At 42.2% G+C, this 18,198-nt stretch overlaps 2 annotated features.

Moving 5' to 3' along the window:
• Positions 7,924-8,498: an enhancer, noted in NCBI's record as "H3K4me1 hESC enhancer chr8:54325956-54326530 (GRCh37/hg19 assembly coordinates)". NCBI's record gives its function as "activates a minimal SCP1, AML or CMV promoter by ChIP-STARR-seq in naive H9 embryonic stem cells {active_cell/tissue: H9 hESC(naive)}" and the evidence as "EXISTENCE:reporter gene assay evidence [ECO:0000049][PMID:30033119]".
• Positions 8,499-9,072: an enhancer, noted in NCBI's record as "H3K4me1 hESC enhancer chr8:54326531-54327104 (GRCh37/hg19 assembly coordinates)". NCBI's record gives its function as "activates a minimal SCP1, AML or CMV promoter by ChIP-STARR-seq in naive H9 embryonic stem cells {active_cell/tissue: H9 hESC(naive)}" and the evidence as "EXISTENCE:reporter gene assay evidence [ECO:0000049][PMID:30033119]".

Below are 18,198 nucleotides of genomic sequence, written 5' to 3' on the forward strand. Positions count from 1 at the left end.
TGAAACCTCATCTCTACTAAAAATACAAAAATTAGCTGGGCATGGTGGGACACACCTCTAATCCCAGCTACTAGGGAGGCTGCAGCAGGAGAATCGCTTGAACCCAGGAGGCGGAGGTTGCAGTGAGCCGAAATCGCGCCACTGCACACCAGCCTGGTGACAGAGCAAGAGTCCTTGTTAAAAAAAACAAAACAAAACAAAAAAAAACCCCACTAGAATGGAGGAAACGGGATTCAATTCAACAGAGACAGAGGCCAAGGCAATCCCCAGGAGGGGAGGAAATCTCACGATGACAGCTTGTCGCCAGCGTGATCAAGAGACAGACCTGTTGAGGCTGGTGTCCCAGAGTGCAGACCTGCTCTCCCATGCATGCCTTCCTGCCAAGGTCACCTGTGCTCCTTTTCTGCTTGGCTCTGTGAAACCCTAAGAGGAAGGCCACAGTGGGCTTAGAAGCTGAACGTACAGAGCACCCCTCCTCCCACTGAAGTTCTGCCCCATGTCACTTTTTGGCCCATGCCACAGTCAGCATCGTGCCCAGTGTTTCCATGCATGTACTTAGGACCTTGTCTGGTGGCTTCCTGGCAGGCACTCTTCCACACGCTCTGGGATGCTGAGGTCCCACCCACTCTAAGAGGATCATTTATCTGATCCTGGCCATGAAGCCTCTTGCTTCCAAAGCTAGGTGTGTGGTTATTATTCAATTTTTCAAAATAAAACAATATAATGTTGAGAGATACATAGGTGTTAAAACCTATTTTTTAAAGGGAGTAATTGAACCTGAAGATAGGACCGTGGTTAACTTGCTGCAAGACCAGATGGAAATGCAAGGGGAGGAGCCTGAAAGGGGGACTCTAGTCCCACCCTCACCCTGGCATTTGTTTTTATATATAATCAATTATATACAAACCAATGAGAGTCAAACTGAATATCACTCTGGTGATCACTTCCAGGTGACTTCTTCCAGCACACTCTATGGAGGAAATTCACTGGACTGCGCACTGAAACCATTTCTCTGCTTGGAGGTTACCGTGAAAAACCTACCTTGCTTGTTTTCCCCCGAGAATTGTATTATATAGCTTTCTTATTAAATTTCAAAAAACAAAATCACAGCAGAGGTTTCTATCAAGTAACACCGTTTGCTAAATAAGAAAGACTGTAGAAAGATTGAGTGGAAGGCTTAATAGTGCAAAGAAAATAACTCAACAGTTAATTTATGACCCTTAATTTACTGATCATGGCAATGAAACTAGTCTTCATTTGTAATGTTGATTTATCAATAAGAAATCTTTACTGAGCTCTGTTTTCATCAGATGGCCTAAGTATCATTTAAAAAGAGTGCCAGAAAATATTGAATTTCATATTATCCTCTACATCAATAGAATACTCTTTAAAATAATTCATAACATCAATATATCAACATATCAATACAGTGTAGATGTGTGTATATATGTATACGTGTGTGTGTGCATATATATATATATATATATATATATATATATATATATATAATGTAATAACACATTTGGAGATGTATAACCAAAGCTAATGCTATGGCCAATTATTATCCAAATGTTAGAGTTACCAGTGAACTGAAATTAGCCATTTCGCATCTTGCACACCCACCCCAGAACAGGTCAGGGATGGCACCCCCTGGCATCCTGGAGGCACTGTGCATGGCATAGAAAGGGAAGCTGAGCCAAGAGCACCAAGATGCTGAACCTCACTTTCCCTCACTTGGACACACACTCACTCCCTTTCCAACAGCCCATCCTTCTCCTTATAGAAACCTGTGAGAAGCAAAGCTCACTTCCTCCAGAAAGCTCTCCCAGGTAATGTAACCCAATTCCTTCAGAGAGCACGAACCCTTAGGGGACCTACCACCCTAGCGCCAGAGCTGAGGTCTCCAAAGGTTATGGGGCCAGATGTGATTTGGATGTTTGTCCCCTCCGAGTCTCACGTTAAAATGTGATCCCTGATACTGGGCGTGGCCTGGTGGCAGGTGTCTGGGTCATGGAGGTGGATCCTTATGACTGGCTTGGTGCCATTCTGAAGTTAATGAGTGAGTTCTGGCTCTGTTATTTCCCATGGGCGCTGATTGTTTAAAAGGGCCTGGCACCTCCCCTGCCTCTCTCTTCCTTCCTCTCACATAATGCCTGCTCCCCTTTGCCTTCCCCCATGAGTAAAGGCTTCCTGAGGCCTCCCTAGAAGCCAAGCAGATGCTGGAGCCAAGCTTGTTCCTGTACAGCCTGCAGAACCATGAGCCAAGTCAACCTCTTTTCTTTATAAATTACACACTGTTGGATATTCTTTTATAACAACACAGACTAAAACAAAGCCCAAGCCCTGATCTTAGGGAGCATGAGCTCAGGCCAGAAAAGGAACTGATGGGGGAAATATGAAAACTCCCCAAGTATGTGAGAGGCTCTCCACTTCCTGGCTACGTGTTTCCTTCTTAAAGAATTAGAGAAAAACTCAAGAGAAAAGGATGAAGATAATAAGGATATAAGTATTTGTGAGTGACTTATAAGGGACAAAGTGCTAGACACATGTTACCGCTGCCCCTCACATCCTCCTGTGAGGTCATGTGCTCAGCCCTTAACACTCGGGCAGACGTTAAGGAAGGGAGTTGCTCGAGGTGGTGGGCGAGTGGGCCCAGGAGCCAGGTGTCAGCTCCAGGCCTTTTGCTCCACCCTGTGGAAAGGGCTCCCTCTTCCCAGACACTACTGTCTCTGACATGGAGCAGCACCATCAGGTCACCTCGCCGGGTGGATGTTCACACTGCTTCTCTGTATTTGCCTTTCTCCATTCTCTGACATTTTCCTCTTGCTCTTTTTGACCTATTCAAGATTTGAGCCTTGAAAGAGTAGGCATTAAAAAGAAAATGAGACAATTAACCCATTTCGAATACAACTACTGCAGCAAAGTTCAAAAACTGGAATATTTAAGAATCAGACAAGTACAGAGCCTTTGTAAAAAGTGTCATTGGAACTGCAGAATGAGGCTGAGGGAGCCGCCGTCCTCTGACTAAGTCTTTACAGTTGAAAGGAGGTCAGGATGTCTGTGAAGCAAACAAGTGCTCCAAGGGTTTCCTCACTCACTCTTCACCCCTGAACAAATCAGACAGAAAAAAACTTTTAGCTTTTTGGCTCCACCGCATCCCTTATGTCTTTCTACGCTCTTGCTCTTGGCAGTGTAAGGGTGGAGAGCAGGAGGGGAGCAAGCTCACCTATGACAATTGAGAGTCACCTCAGGAAACCCACAGATGCAGGGTTGGATGCTTCTTGTTCCTTAGTTCCTGGTGATTGTCTGTACTTGTCTAGGGAAACACAGTTAGATGTGAGAGCTTTTCCCAATGGCTCCATGCATACGTGTGCCCCACAACGTGCTCCTCGTGCCAGCTAGCAGGCATGGACCCAAACACATCTTCCCCCTGCCCCTCACACGGCCCCCGGAGCTGACAGCCCAAAGGAATCAGAAGGAACTTCGAGACAAGCCAAAAGGATCCTGGAGGAGAGAAAGTGAGGAAGAAGAGCGAAAGGAGAAAATGAAAAGCAAGGACATAAGAGGAATTAAGCTGCATTAGATGCCATCACATTTGCCTGTTGAAAACTGTGTGGAAAGGACATTTTTCACCAATCATGGAGATGTGGAGCAATAAAGGGTGAAGGACAGGAACGCAGGAGTAGAGGAAGATAGGGGACCCATGGATTCAGCCACCAAAACTCAGATACCACCCACTGCTGCCCACCTTAGCTAGCTCTATTTGGCTGCTTTTCTTAGTGAAATTGAAAGTGCAGTGCTCACTAGATATACTTTTGAGCAGTTGAGGAAAGGAAGGGAAGAAGGGAAGAAAGGAAGGAGAGGGGCAGGAAGGAGGGAGGGAAAATGAGAGAAGGGATTCAAAATATCAATGACTTTCCTCATAGACATAAGAAAAGCAATCTTAAAATTTATATGGAACCACAAAAGACCTTGAATACCCAAAGAAATCCTGAGTAAAAAGAACAAAGCTAGAGACATAATACTACATGACTTCAGAATTTACTACAAAACTATAGTAACCAAAACAGTGTGGTACTGGCATGAAAACATATACCAATAAGACAGAATGGAGAACCCAGATATAAATCTACACATTTACAACCACCTCATTTTCTTTTTTTCTTTTCTTTTCTTTTTTTTTTTTTTTTTTGAGACAGAGTCTTGCTATGTCATGCAGGCTGGAGTGCAGTGGAACAATCTCAGCTCACTGCAACCTCTGCTTCCTGGGTTCAAGCAATTTTGCCACCTCAGCCTCCCAAGTAGCTGGGACTACAGGTGCACACCAGCACACCTGGCTAATTTTGCATTTTTAGTAGAGACAGGGTTTCACCATGTTGACCAGGCTGGTCTCAAACTCCTGACCTCAAGTGATCCACCCACCTAGGCCTCCCAAAGTGCTGGGATTACAAGTGTGAGCCACCGCACCCAGCACAACCAGCTCATTTTCAACAAAGGCACCAAGAACATACAATGTGAAAAGGATAGTCTTTTCAATAAATGGTGCTAAGGAAACTGGATAACTATATGTAGAGGAATGAAACCTCTATCTCTCACCATACACAAAAATCAACTCAATGTAAAGACTTGAATCTAAGACCTGAAACTATGAAATTACTAGAAAAAAAAAACTTGAGGGAATGCTCCAGGACATTGATCTGTGCATAGATTTTGGGGGTCAAACCTCAGAAGCACAGGCAACCAAAGCAAAAATAGACAATTGTGATTACATCAAGCTAAAAAGCTTGTGCACAGCCAAGGAAACAATCAGCAAAGTAAAGAGACCACATACATAATGAGAGAAAATATTTGCTAACTATTTACTGAACAAGGGATTAATAACTAGAACATATAAGGAGTTCAAACAACTCAACAGCAAAATAATAATAATAATTGAAATCAAAATGGGCAAAAGATCTGAACAGACATTTCTCAAAAGGAGACATACAGGTCGGGCACAGTGGCTCATGCCTATAGTCTCAGCACTTTGGAAGGCCAATATGGGTGGATCACTTGAGCCCATGAGTTCAAGACCAGCCTGGGCAACACGGAGAAACCCCGTCCCTACAAAAATTCAAAAAATAAAAATTATCCCAGCATGGTGGCACATGCCTATAGTCCCAGCTACTCAGGAGGCTGAGGTAGGAGCATCACCTGAGCCCAGGAGGTTGAGGCTGCAGTGAGCTATGATCATACCACTGCACTCCAGCATGAGTGACAGAGTAAGACCCTGTCTAAAAAAAAAAAAAATTGCCAACAGATATATAAAAAAAGTTCGACATCATTAATCATCAAAGAAACACAAATCAAAACTACAGGCCAGGCATGGTGGCTCACACCTGTAATCCCAGCACTTTGGGAGCTGGAGATGGGCAGATCACTTGAGGCCAGGAGTTTGAGACCAGCCTTGCTGACATGGCAAAACCCCATCTCTACTGAAAATACAAAAAATTAGCCAGGCATGGTGACACGCACCTGTAATCTCAGCTACTCGGGAGGCAGAGACACAAGAATTGCTTGAAACTGGGAAATAGAGGTTGCAGTGAGCCAAGATTGTGCCACTGTACTCCAGCCTAGGCAGCAGAGCGAGACTCTGTCTAAAAAAAAAAAAAAATGAACTACCATCTCACCCCATTACAATGGCTTATATCAAAAAGGCAGGTAACAACAGATGTTGGTGAGGATGTGGAGAAAGGGGATCCCTCATACACTGTTGGTGGGAATGTAAATTAGAAACAGTCTGGCTGTTCCTCAAAAACTAAAAATAGAATTACCATATGATCCAGCAACTCCACTCTGAGTATATAGCCAAAGAAAAGAAATCAAAGAAGGATCTACACTCCCATGTTTATTACAGCAGTATTCACAATAGCCAAAATATGGGCTCAGCCTAAGTCCCCATCAACAGGTGAATGGATAAAGAAAATGTAGTAGATATACACAGTGGAATATTATTCAGTCATGAAAAGAAATGAAGTTCTGTCATTTGCAGCAACATGAATGGAACTGGAAGACATTATGTTAAGTGAAATAAGCCAAACACAGACAAATACTGCATGTTCTCGTGCATATGGAGAGCTAAAAAAGTGGATCTAATGAAGATAGATTCGTGGTTACCCAGAGGCCAGGATGGAGAAGGGGAGGAGGAATGAAGGAAAAAAAGAATGTAAACTAATTTATTACTACTGTAGTGTACACTTAAAAATGGTAAAGATGGTAAATTATATATGTATATTTTACCTCAATAAAAATTAATTAAAAAAAAAGAAAACTCTACCCTCTTCCAGTATTTATAGGGTGAACTTTCTGCTTCTTTTTTATTCCTTCCTTTTTTTTTCTTTTTTTTTCTCTCTCTCTCCTATAGGGTGAACTTCTTGGCTCAAAAGGACTGTGACAAATGTGAAAAGAATTTGAGATAGAGGCTTTAGAATCCCCAATGTGCTGACTGGTTAATTAAGCTTAGCATTGGAATTCATCTCTAGGGTCACCTACTCAACCACTGCTCAGCGTCCTCTGCGTCTGTCTTGTGCATTCTCTCAGATAACATCTGAAGTCCATAATCCCAGTACTTTGGGAGGCCTAAGCGGGTGGGTCACCTGAGGTCCGGAATTCAAGACCAGCCTGGCCAACGTGGTGAAACCCCGCCTCTACTAAAAATACAAAAATTAGCCAGGCATGGTGGTGGGTGCCTGTAATCCCAGCTACTCAGGAGGCTGAGGCAGGAGAATCCCTTAAACTGGGGAGGTGGAGGTTGCAGTGAGCCGAGATCATGCCATTGCAAGGTGAAAAGCTCTTAAAGACCAAAAAGGCAGTTTATAACCTCAATACACTTAGCAAATCTAGTATCTGACCTGCATAATTTAGTTTACCTATTTACATTTTGATGACATCTGCATTTTACCAATAATTTTTAAGGCTGTTTTTATTTCTCAGATTAAAGTCGTGATCTAAACGGTACCACAGCTTTTATCTTCCCTTTAAAAAATATTTGATCCTAGCACTTGTCTTCCTTTGGGCCAATTAATTAGAGCTATTTTTTATGGACATCTCGCACACACAACACATATATAACTACACAGACAAGCAGAAGAAAATCCAGCAGCCATAAGATTTTTTCGTTTGCCAATCTCCTAATTGGATTATTGGCCTCCGGAGGGAAGACTTTTGAGTTAGGCTAGGAAAATGTGCGGCTTTTAAGGCATAAGAGGCATAACTGGGAAGCAAAAACAAATTTTGAGAGGGGTCTATCTGCCTTTAATTCCTGGGGTTCCAGGAGAAAAACAGAGGTCTCTCCCTTCTCATGTGTCCATTAAAAGTGGCAAGGCAAAATGGAGAAAAATACTTCAGCCGACCAAAAAAAAAAAAAAAAACACACCTTTTCCCAACAAAATGAGGTCCTAGAAAAGAAAAACATAAAGGCCTTTTAAATATACCTGTGACTTGGATATCCACTTTTAATTAAGCTGGGTGCTTTTTAAGAAAATCTTTTTAAATCCCCTATTACCTGACTTTAACCAGACCAAGCAGACAATATTTCTGACTTTCAAACTTTACTAAAGACTCAGAGAAAGGAAAATCCAAGGCAGTTTGGGAGGGGAAGAGAATCAACAAATAGCAAGGGTCGCACAGACACCAAACCAGAAAGGACTCATTCCCTAAGCCAGGACTGAATCTGGCTGCCATGGTAAAATGGGGGAGGCTAAACGAAGCATTGTCACCTGGTTACAGGTCAGGTTCCCAAGGAGGTAAAACAAGATGGAGGCCCGCAGCAAAGTTTGCTGCTGACCATGCAGAATGCCAGGCAAAGCACACTGGATTGGCTGCAATTTAAGGCCAACCTAACAAATCCTTTTTCATCATTAAAACTTTACAGAGAATATAGACAGTGACAGTTGGGGTCCTGGCCTAGTAAAACATCTTCTAAAAAGCAAAATAGCCTCACTTAAAAGTTAACTCCTGACCCGGCGGAGAAAAGGAAAAGACAGCTTAAATGCAGGGCTGTGTTAACTGCTGACAGGGTGGAGGAAAAAAAAAATGATGCCAGCCGGTCGCGGTGGGTCACGCCTGTAGTAACAGCACTTTGGGAGGCTGAGGCGGGCAGATCACCTGAGGTCAGGAGTTCGAGATCAGCCTGGCCAACCTGGTGAAACCTCGTCTCTACTAAAAATACAAAAATTAGCAGGGCATGGTGGCGCAATCCCAGCTACTTGGGAGGCTGAGGCAGGAGAATCGCTTGAACCCGGGAGGTGGAGGTTGCAGTGAGTCTAGGTCGCGCCACTGCACTCCAGCCTGGGCGACAGAGTGAGACTCCTCTCAGAAAAAAAGAAAAGAAAAAGATGCCTGGGGAAGAACCTCTTATTCTTATGCAAATGGTTCCTCCACCAGGGAAAGAAACTTAATTGCTGTCGGACAGAGTGGGTCCCCTTGGCCAGGGGAGGGGAAGCCTCCATGGACAAGTGGAGGGAGTGCTGGCCAGCCTGCTGGTGCGCAGCCTCGAGCCATACACTCCAGCCCTGGCCGGGAAGGGACCGGGGGAGCCGCCATTCACTGGTCCATGCCGCACACACCTGCAGCCCTTGGGGTGGGGTGGTGCGCAGTTTCCTCTACCCCCAGAAGAGGTACAAGGACAAAAAGGCTTAGAAGCGAAAGGAAAAAAAAAAGATTTTTTGATTTGCATGTACTCACCCTTCCTCAAGACTCACGTCTGGACACCAAAAATGTTGCAGAACTTTCTTCTTAGGTCAGCTAAAACCAGGCTCTTGTCACACGACCAGGAAAGAGTAGGGTCACAGACACATAGAAGCGTGAGAAGACGGAATTTATTGGATAAAAAGGAAAAGAAAAATAACTCTCAGCAAAGCGAGACTCCTGCTAGCAGGTTTTCCGCCTCACAGTTTGAATCCCAGGTCACCACACAGGAATAGGAGAGGCCAAGCTCCTCTCCCCTGCGAAGGTCATGAATTTCCGAAGGCTCCACCCTGCCTTCCCAGTTGGCAGGTAGGCATTATTTAGAATCAGTCAGGAAAGGGCAGGCTTCATCAGGCACCAGAAGTCTGGTTTTTCATCCTTCAGGCTGTTTTAGGCTTGAAGGCGGGGTTTCACCAGGGACTTTTGGCTGCGTCCTGTCTCCATCAGTTGTAAATGCAAAAGGCATTACTCGCAACAAAGAGGGTCATTTATAATAAGCTTCAGTTTGCCAGAAAAAAATATAATTATTATATTTTATGTACCTAATAACATGGTCTCAAAATATATGAAGCAGAAAGTGACATAACTAAAGATAAATTGACAAATGCATTATTGTAGTGTATTTACTATACCACTTTTAGCAATAGAATAAACAGACAAAAGTTAGTAAGGACAAGGAAGTTTTAAATTATACAATAAACAAGCTGTACCATAAGCTTATATAAAATACTGCATGTAAAAATTGCAAAACACATTATTCTCAAACACATACAGAAAAAAAAAAATGGTTGGCCATTCAGACCCTAACACAAATCTTATATTTCAATGGGTTAAAATTTTCTTTGATAAGATAAGAAGTTAATATTCTATGAACATTTCACAGGGATTTCTTAAGGTTGCAAACTATTTGGCCCATAATTTAATGGGCCTGTTATCAGTTCCATCTGCTGTTCAGGGTGAACCACTATCATGCCAGCTGGCCTTTCATAATAAGTGTGTGCAAGCCTCGACTTCCACTTTCTAAGCCTCCAGTCCCCCCAATATGTACAGTGGATATAATAACACATACTTTTCAAGGTTACTATAAAAATTCTATATGGTTTATAAAGGATCTAGTACAATGCCATACACATAGTACACATTCAATAAATTATGGTTAATGACTTATGAAAGCAGCATTTGAAAATACATATTCAGAGGGTTTTAAAGATCACTGCATGGTTTTCAAGTCTCTCTCATACTTTTCTGCATGGTAGTCTCCTATCCATCCTGGCCATAATTGACCACCATAAAGAGTCACTGAAGATTTGATTTTAAAAAAACAAACAAAAAAAAAACCCTGGACTAACTAAATTTAACAGAGTTTAATTTGAGCAAAGAATGATTAGCAAATCAGGCAGTCTTCCAAGCCAGAGTAGGCTCAGAGAGACTCCAGCACAGCCACATGGTGGAAGATTTATGGATAGAAGGAAAGTGACTTACAGAAAACTAAAATGAGGTACAAAAACAGCCCATTGGTTACAGCTCAGTTTGTCTTATTTGAACATGACTTGAACAGTTGTGCACCTGTGATTGACCAAAGCTCAGTGAGTGGCACAAGAGTAGGTTACAGTCTATTTACACATCCAGTCAGGTTAGAGTTTACAATGTATGGAGAAACCTTTAGACCAAACTTAAAATATGTAAGGAGGCAGCTTTAAGCTAAACTTGATTTATCAGGTCTAAGAAGGCACCACCTCCTAAAGTTAAAGTGATCCAGTACCATTCCGTAGAGATTAAGTAGTATGAACAAACATTTAAGAACATTTGCAAAAGACACTGTGGAGATCACTGTCAGATGTGGGGAATTAAATACAAACAAATAATTATAAGATATGATGGAAGATGAAAGTTTCCATTTTAAAGATACAGTGTAAGCAAATTAAGTGGCATTTGAGATAGGGTTTGAAGCAACAGCACACAGCCCAGGAAATTTAGGGTGGACCCATATGATTTCTGCTCACCAGCCCATGAGGAGTGTGGAGAGGCAGGTACCCAGAAAGAACACTTTTGTCTTTACACAAAGCAAATGGGCATTGTTGTCTAATGCACACAAGTCACCCTCAGGTGAGAAAGCATCCAGCGTGGGGGTTCAAGGAAGGGGATATGTTTCCTAATTAATCTACATGCGCCCTCTAGGCTAACAGAAAGACAAAGACACTGGAAAGAATGGTTCTTCTTCCTTCACTGTATATTGTGGGTCTGAAGTCTGGAATTAGCATAGTCAGATTCAGCCAAGAAAATGATAAATAAGGCAGACAGCATTTATTCCTTGTATGATCGCAACAGCTAATTAATTGGGAGGGCATTACATTGAGGCAACTCCAGCACCCTGGGTTCCTGTATAAGTAAACCAAAACCCAATTCAGTGTTGAAGTAGAACAAAACTTAAGTTTAATCAGAAACTGCCAAGTAAACTCTAACTAGGAACTGTGCACTGAAATGAATCAAATTAGGCTACTGCCGCACTTAAACCAGCCAGATGTTTTCTTTGTCTTGCCTCTCCGTGCACCTTATAAAAATCCTCCCCTCAGGATCCTTTGTTGGAGCTGTGGACTGCTGGCAATCTGGAGCCGCCTGATTCATGAACTGCTCTCTGTTCGAATAAACTCTTTACTATTTTAATAAAACCAGTTTATCTTTTAGCACAACCAAGTGGGATAAATTCCTCCATTTTCCTCTACTTTGCATATGAGGAGACTGAGGCATGACTTCTAAGCAAGAGAGCTGAGATTTGAACTCCAGTCCATGATTTAGTCTTGTTAAATTGAATTTAGTCTACAGCTTCTTCTTTAGATATTTTCAGTCGGGACTAAAGGTTTCTTAATACATAGTGAACTGTCACCTAACTGGATGTGTAAACACACCACAACCTACTCTTACAACAAGTCGCCAAGTCTCAACCAATCACAGCAGCTGAGATTTGGCTGATCACAGGCAGCCAACTGTTCAAACCACGTTCAAATAAGACCAACTCTGAGCTGTAACCAATCTGATTGTTTCTGTTTACCTCACTTCCATCTTCCATACGCCACTTTACTTTTTTTGTCCATAAATAGTATTGGACCATATGGCAACCCTGGAGTTGCCCTAAGCCTATTCTGTTTCAGGGGGCTGCCCAATTCATGAATCATTCTTTGCTCCATTAAACTTTGTTAAATTTCTCTACAGTTTTCCTTTTAACAACCACCACACTACACCTCTATCAGCAGCCCTAAAAAGGGAACAGGTTGAGGACAGAGCTGGGACATGGAGGATGGAAGGACAGAAAGATGGAAAGAACCTGTTGGTTTTCAGAAACCAGTACCCCAAAATACGACATGCTGAACTGAAGAACAAGACTCAAGGTCTCTCTGACCTTCCACCGTTTCTTCCAAAGAAACTGAAGTTCCATTATCTGCCTAAGATCCAGACCTATCAAGGAGAACAGTTTTCTTCCCCTCCCTGTAAGACCAAAATGTAACCACCTGAATGGACCCTTTTTCAAGATGATGACTATCTCCAAGGATCACTTAATTTCCAAAGAGAACTATTTACAACTTAATTTCTGTTCCCCATTCAATCATTCTCCTGAATAATCATTTATTCCCATCAATAGACTTCCTCTTCTCCATGTTCCCATAACCTGTTTTATCAGAATCCAAGGCCCCTTTCTTTCTGAAACCTCAAGTTGGCACATAAGCTTCTCTACCTTATTGGGAAGTTGAGTCTTCGTTTCGAAGGCTCCTGTGTATACACGTTAAATACACTTGTACACCTTTTTTTCCTATTAACCAATCTGCCTCATGTCAGCGATTTTCCAGCCAACCTTTAAAGGGCCAAGGGGAAAGTTCTCTCTTGGCCCCCACAACCTCAGTCCTTGTGACATTACACAGCCACTGAACCAACCTTGCCTGCATTCACTACATCCGGGGCCTGTTCAATTTGTAGATAATCAATCTGCCTGTTGTTTGAGCCCCCTTGTTGCCAGTAAACTGAGTTTGTTTCCTACTTTGTATTGGTCGCAAAGAAGGAACACCCAATCAGAAAAAAAGACAAACAGATTTTATTCCTGGCCAGGAATGTAGAAGGAGCATCTTCTCCCTGAGACATGGGAAGCTGGGTGACATGGTTTGGCTGTGTCCCCACCCAAATCTCATCTTGAATTGTAGCTCCCATAATTCCCACATGTTGTGGGAGGGATCCAGTGGGAGGTAATTAAATTATGGGGGTGGGTCTTTCCTATGTTGTTCTTGTGATAGTGAATAAGTTTCATGAGATCCGATGGTTTTATAAAGAGGAGTTCTGCTGCACTTGCTCTCTTTCCTGCCACCAAGTAAGACATGCCTTAGCTTCGTCTTTGCCTTCAGGATGATTTTCTTTTTTTCTTTTTTTTTTTTTTTTTTGAGACAGAGTCTCACTCTGTCACCCAGGTGGGAGTACAGTAATGCAATCTTGGCTCACTGCAACCTCTGCCTCCCAGGTTCAAGCCATTCTCCTCTCTCAGTCTCCTGAGGAGCTGGGATTACAGGTGTGCACCACCACGCCTGGCTAATTTTTAGTAGAGATGGGGTTTCGCCATGTTGGCCAGGCTAATCTCAAACTCCTGACTTCGGTGATCTGCCTGTCTCAGCCTCCCAAAGTTCTGGGATTACAGGTGTGAGTCACTGCACTTGGCCCTTCTGCCAAAATTGTGAGGCCTCCCCAGCCATGTGGAACTGTGAGTCAATTAAACCTCTCTCCTTTATAAATTGCCCAGTCTCCGGTATGTCTTTATTAGCAGCATAAGAACAGACTAATACACTGGGGAATTTTAAGGAGTTAGCCATGGGGTGGGAAAGTATGCAAACATGTGCAAGGAGGAACCCTAGACACAGGCGTAGACAATAAACTCTCCTCTTCATGTGACATATGTTCAGAAAATGGTGGTGATTTTCCTATAAGTGTAAACCAAGAGTATCTGAGACAAGTCTCAGTCAATTTAGAAAGTTTACTTTGTCAAGGTTAAGGACGTGCCTGTGACATATCCTTAGGAGGTCCTGATGACATGTGCCCAAGGCAATTGAGGCACAGCTTGGTTTTATGCGTTTTAAGGAGACATGAGACATCAATCAATACATGTAAGATGTACATTGGTTTGGTCTAGAAAAGTGGGACAACTCAAAGCACGGAGGGGGCTTCCAGGTCATAGGTAGATAAGAAACAAATGGTTATATTCTTTTGAGTTTTTGATTAGCCTTTCACTGAATACACACTTCATAGGAATAGTCACTTATGCTTTAGTCTGGCTTAGTGAAAACAATAAGGCAAAAGAAGCAATCAGATATGCACTTGTCTTACATGAGCAAAGGGATGACTTTGAGTTCTATCTGTCCTTTGTCCACAAGGAATTTCCTTGTGGGCAAATTGTGAGAGAGGTATGTAGAAAAGAATGGGAGGAAGGTTTGCCTGATGCAGTTCCCAACTTGAGTCTTCCCTTTGGCTTAGTGATTTTGGGGTCCTGAGATTTATTTTCCTTTTACATAAGGGTGGGAAATTTAGCATTATAATGATATGTTAATGATCTAAAGGTAACAAGGGGTCATCTGTTCCAGTCTGTGCTGGTTTGGGGGTCATATCTCCCTCCAGTATCTGGTCAGGGGTTAAGAAGCTCTGGTGCCATCCCAGGCCATCTGGTTTTGTTAGAGGCATTTGAACCAGAGTGACCCCATCTTGAATAGGGGCTGGGTAAAATAAGACTGAGACCCACTGGGCTGCATTCCTAGGAAGTTAGGCACTCTAAGTCACAGGATGAGATAGGAGGTTGGCACAAGATACATTTTATAAAGACCTTGCTGATAAAACGTCTAGACCAAAAATAAAATTCTAAGGCACCCAAACCATCCAAATGGACTTCCTCTTCAGCCAGGGCACTCTTGAAATTCAACCTGAAAGACTGATTCAGGCTATCCTGGGAAGTGAGGGTAGGACATGCCTCATTATACATCCCTGGCATTAACATCAACACAGACTTTAAGTCTGATAAGAAACATTTTACAACCTATTCTCTCTGAAGCCTTCTACCTGAAGGCTTCCTCTGCAAATAAGAACTTTGGTCTTCACAATCCTTTATTTTAACCCAAACATTCCTTTCTGTTGATCCTAGGTCTTTAGATAAACTCAGCCAATTGTCAACCAGAAAAATTTTAAATCTATCTGTAAGCTAGAAGCCCCTGCTTTGAGTTGTCCCACCTTTCTGGACCAAAGCAATGTATTGCTTAAATGTATTTGATTGAAGTCTCATTTCTCCCTAAAATGTATAAAGCCAAACTGCACCCTGACCACCTTGGGCACATGTTCTCAGGACCTCCTGAGGGCTGTGTTATGGGCCATGGTCACTCATATTTGGCTCAGAATAAACCTCTTCAAATATTCTATAGTTTGACTCTTTTTGTCAACAAACAGGATGTGGTAAAGAAGCCAGCCAAAACCAAGATGGTGACAAAAGTGACCTCTGGCCTTCTTCACCGTTTATTATATGGTAATCATAATGCATTAGCATGCTAAAAGACACTCCCATCAGTGCCATGACAGTTTACAAATGTCATGGAAACAGCAGGAAGTTACCCTATATGGTCTAAAAAGGGGAAAAACCGTTCCAGAAATTGCCCACCCCTTTCCCAGAAAACTCATGAATAATCCACCCTTTGTTTAGCATATAATCAAGGAATAACTATAAGAATATAATCAAGAAATAACTATTATACTTAATCAAGCAGCCCATACCACTGCTCTGCCTATGGAGTAGGCATTCTTTTATTCCTTTAATTTCTTAATAAACTTGCCTTCACTTTACTCTATGGACTCACCTGAAGTCTTTCTTGCATGAGTCCAAGAACCCTCTCTTGGCGTCTGGATCAGGATTCCTTTCCGGTAACAGTCTTTAAGCAGCTGTGCCTATAAATAAAGGAACTGAATAAAAACAGTAAGAATAAGAACCTTCCCAGTTATTTCATCAAGGCTGCTCTGGTAACCTTCTTAGGATGGGATTTTCTGTTACTTGCAACTAAAACCATAATAAATACACACAGATAAGGCAAGACAAGACAGGTGGTGCAAGATTATGAACAGGATCCCATGCCCCATTGAGAGGTCTGGACTGAGGACGTATTTGAAACTGCCTTTGCAAAATTATGACTGAGACAATGAAAGAGATCTAACCTAACTGACTCCATCTTGCTTCTAACCTCCAAGCTATCCTTGTTCATTCCTGGGTGTAGGCTGGACTAACTTTGGGAGGAACTTATAGTTTAAACCTAAAACAATAACAGCCCTTTTCCAAAACAAAACTTCTTGCCTGGGGACTAGACCACCTTTGTAGGACTAAGAAATTTGCCACAAGATTAGAAATTATGGTTTAGGAGTCATATAGCTGGAGGCTACAAGATTCCAACCCTCCCTAAATTGCTCCTAAGATCAGTGCTTGAGATATTTTGCAGACCCTGCACTTGATGGATCAGCTGGCTCCACTCAGATCAATAAACTGGCCCATCTGATCTTGTGGCCACCACCCAGGAACTGACTCAGTGCAAAAGAACAGGTTCAACTTCCCATGATTTCATCTCCTATCTGACCAATCAGCACTCCTGCCTCACTGGCTTCCCCCTGCCCACCAAGTTGTCCTTAAAAACTCTGATCCCCAAATGCTCGGAGACACTGATTTGAGTAATAATAAAACTTCAGTCTCCTGCACAGCCGGCTCTGTGTGAATTACTCTTTCTCTATCGCAATTCCCCTTTCTTGATAAATCGGCTATGTCTAGGCAGTGGGCAAGGTGAACCCATTGGGCACTTACATATTTATAATGGGAGGGTTGATAGAGAGGGGAAGGCAGAGTCTTCAGGAAGCCCTAGTGCTTCTGTTTTGGGAAAAGCAGCTCAATAAACCCCCAAAAGAAAGAGGATCTGAGGAGGAATGGTTGACAGCACGGAGAAGGAGTTCTATAGCTGAATATTCATGATCTTACCCTTTTATTGAACTCTTTGGCCACATTTCTATCCAGCAAATCTCCATTTGTAAGGGTGTCTCCCTCTCTGCACTAGGAACAGAAGAATGACTCCAAATCATTAGTGAGCTTGGACAATGGATAAGGCACTGATATAAATCTGTATAACAGACCTCCTTTGTTTAAGGTGCTTTTTCCACAGTCATCTCTTAACTGGGTCTTTCACTGCATCCTTTCTTTGTTTCAGAAAAGTCCAGTGGGTGGTTAAGCCCAGAAGTTTACACTCTTTCTTTGAGATCAACTCAGGCAATTTACTCATTGCTCTGCATTTTCTCCCATGTATATAAGAGGTACAAATGTTTATAAACTTCTGTTTTGCTCTTGTTAACCTTTTGTTACAGGGAATCCCAATTAAGAACAATGACAGGAAGAGAGACCACTGTTTCCCCACCCCCATATGATAAATGAAATTGATAAAAACCAGTCACAACACACCTCAGCTCAGGACAGGCAGCACAGTCATCAGGTGGCAAAATGATTGTCAAAGTAATTATTCTTGCTACCCTGTCCCACTTAAATTCAGCTCTCTGCAGAAGTGAGCTATCTGAGCCATGTGAACTGCCATTGCAGATGTCTACAAGGTAAAGACAGAAAAGCAGTGGTTTGGCTTTTTTTTTTTTTTTTTTTTTTTTTTTTTTTTTTTTTTTTTTTTTTTACTTTGTGTTGCTTTTACCATTTATAAACTGCTGCTTCCAAGCCTTAAGAAAACACTTTTTTTTTACAAAAATAGTGCAGCCTTCCCACAACTACTCTAAATAATTAGAACACTTAAAAATAACTTATTAATCTGTGCTCCCAGAAGTTGAAAAAAAAAGAAATAAAATAAAATAACCTATTAAAAATCCAGGAAAGGATTATCCACAGCAAATGACACAAATCTTAGCTCACCAAGTGCAAATTAGTTTCCTTATGTTGAGAAGCAAAGAGGGTCAAGTACAGAGCATAAGAAAATAACCTAGGTTCACCATGTTTCCCAGTGAAGTCCTGCGGCCATGCAAAAGGCAATTGTGCATTTACAAGTGATTTTAGATTGAGGAAGCATGTGTAGTTTTCCCCAGTTAGCCAGCTGAGCATTGTAAAAACAGAAAAGGTGTGTATTGAATTCACTTTCACAGTGAAGAAAGAGCACCAAGTTAGGACTTAATTCTAAATACTGAAGGGCAGGGAACAAGCCATAATTTCTACCCTATTGAAAGGCATATTCTGTGGCCTCTAACCTGAGAAACCAGGGTGTTGAATTCTAGCTCTAGCCTATTGTGGCCTTGGGTTCTCTGCCTGGGAGAAAGTTGGACTTCCTCCAACTGACAAGTAACTTGGAGACAGTCATTCAAATTCCTATGGCCTCAGCATACAGTGAGTAATTTGGGATAAGTGAGCTTTCATATGCTGTAGTGTTTCATCAAACAGTA

The sequence above is a fragment of the Homo sapiens genome, chromosome 8 (assembly GCF_000001405.40).
Source record: "Homo sapiens chromosome 8, GRCh38.p14 Primary Assembly".
Lineage (NCBI taxonomy): Eukaryota > Metazoa > Chordata > Mammalia > Primates > Hominidae > Homo > Homo sapiens.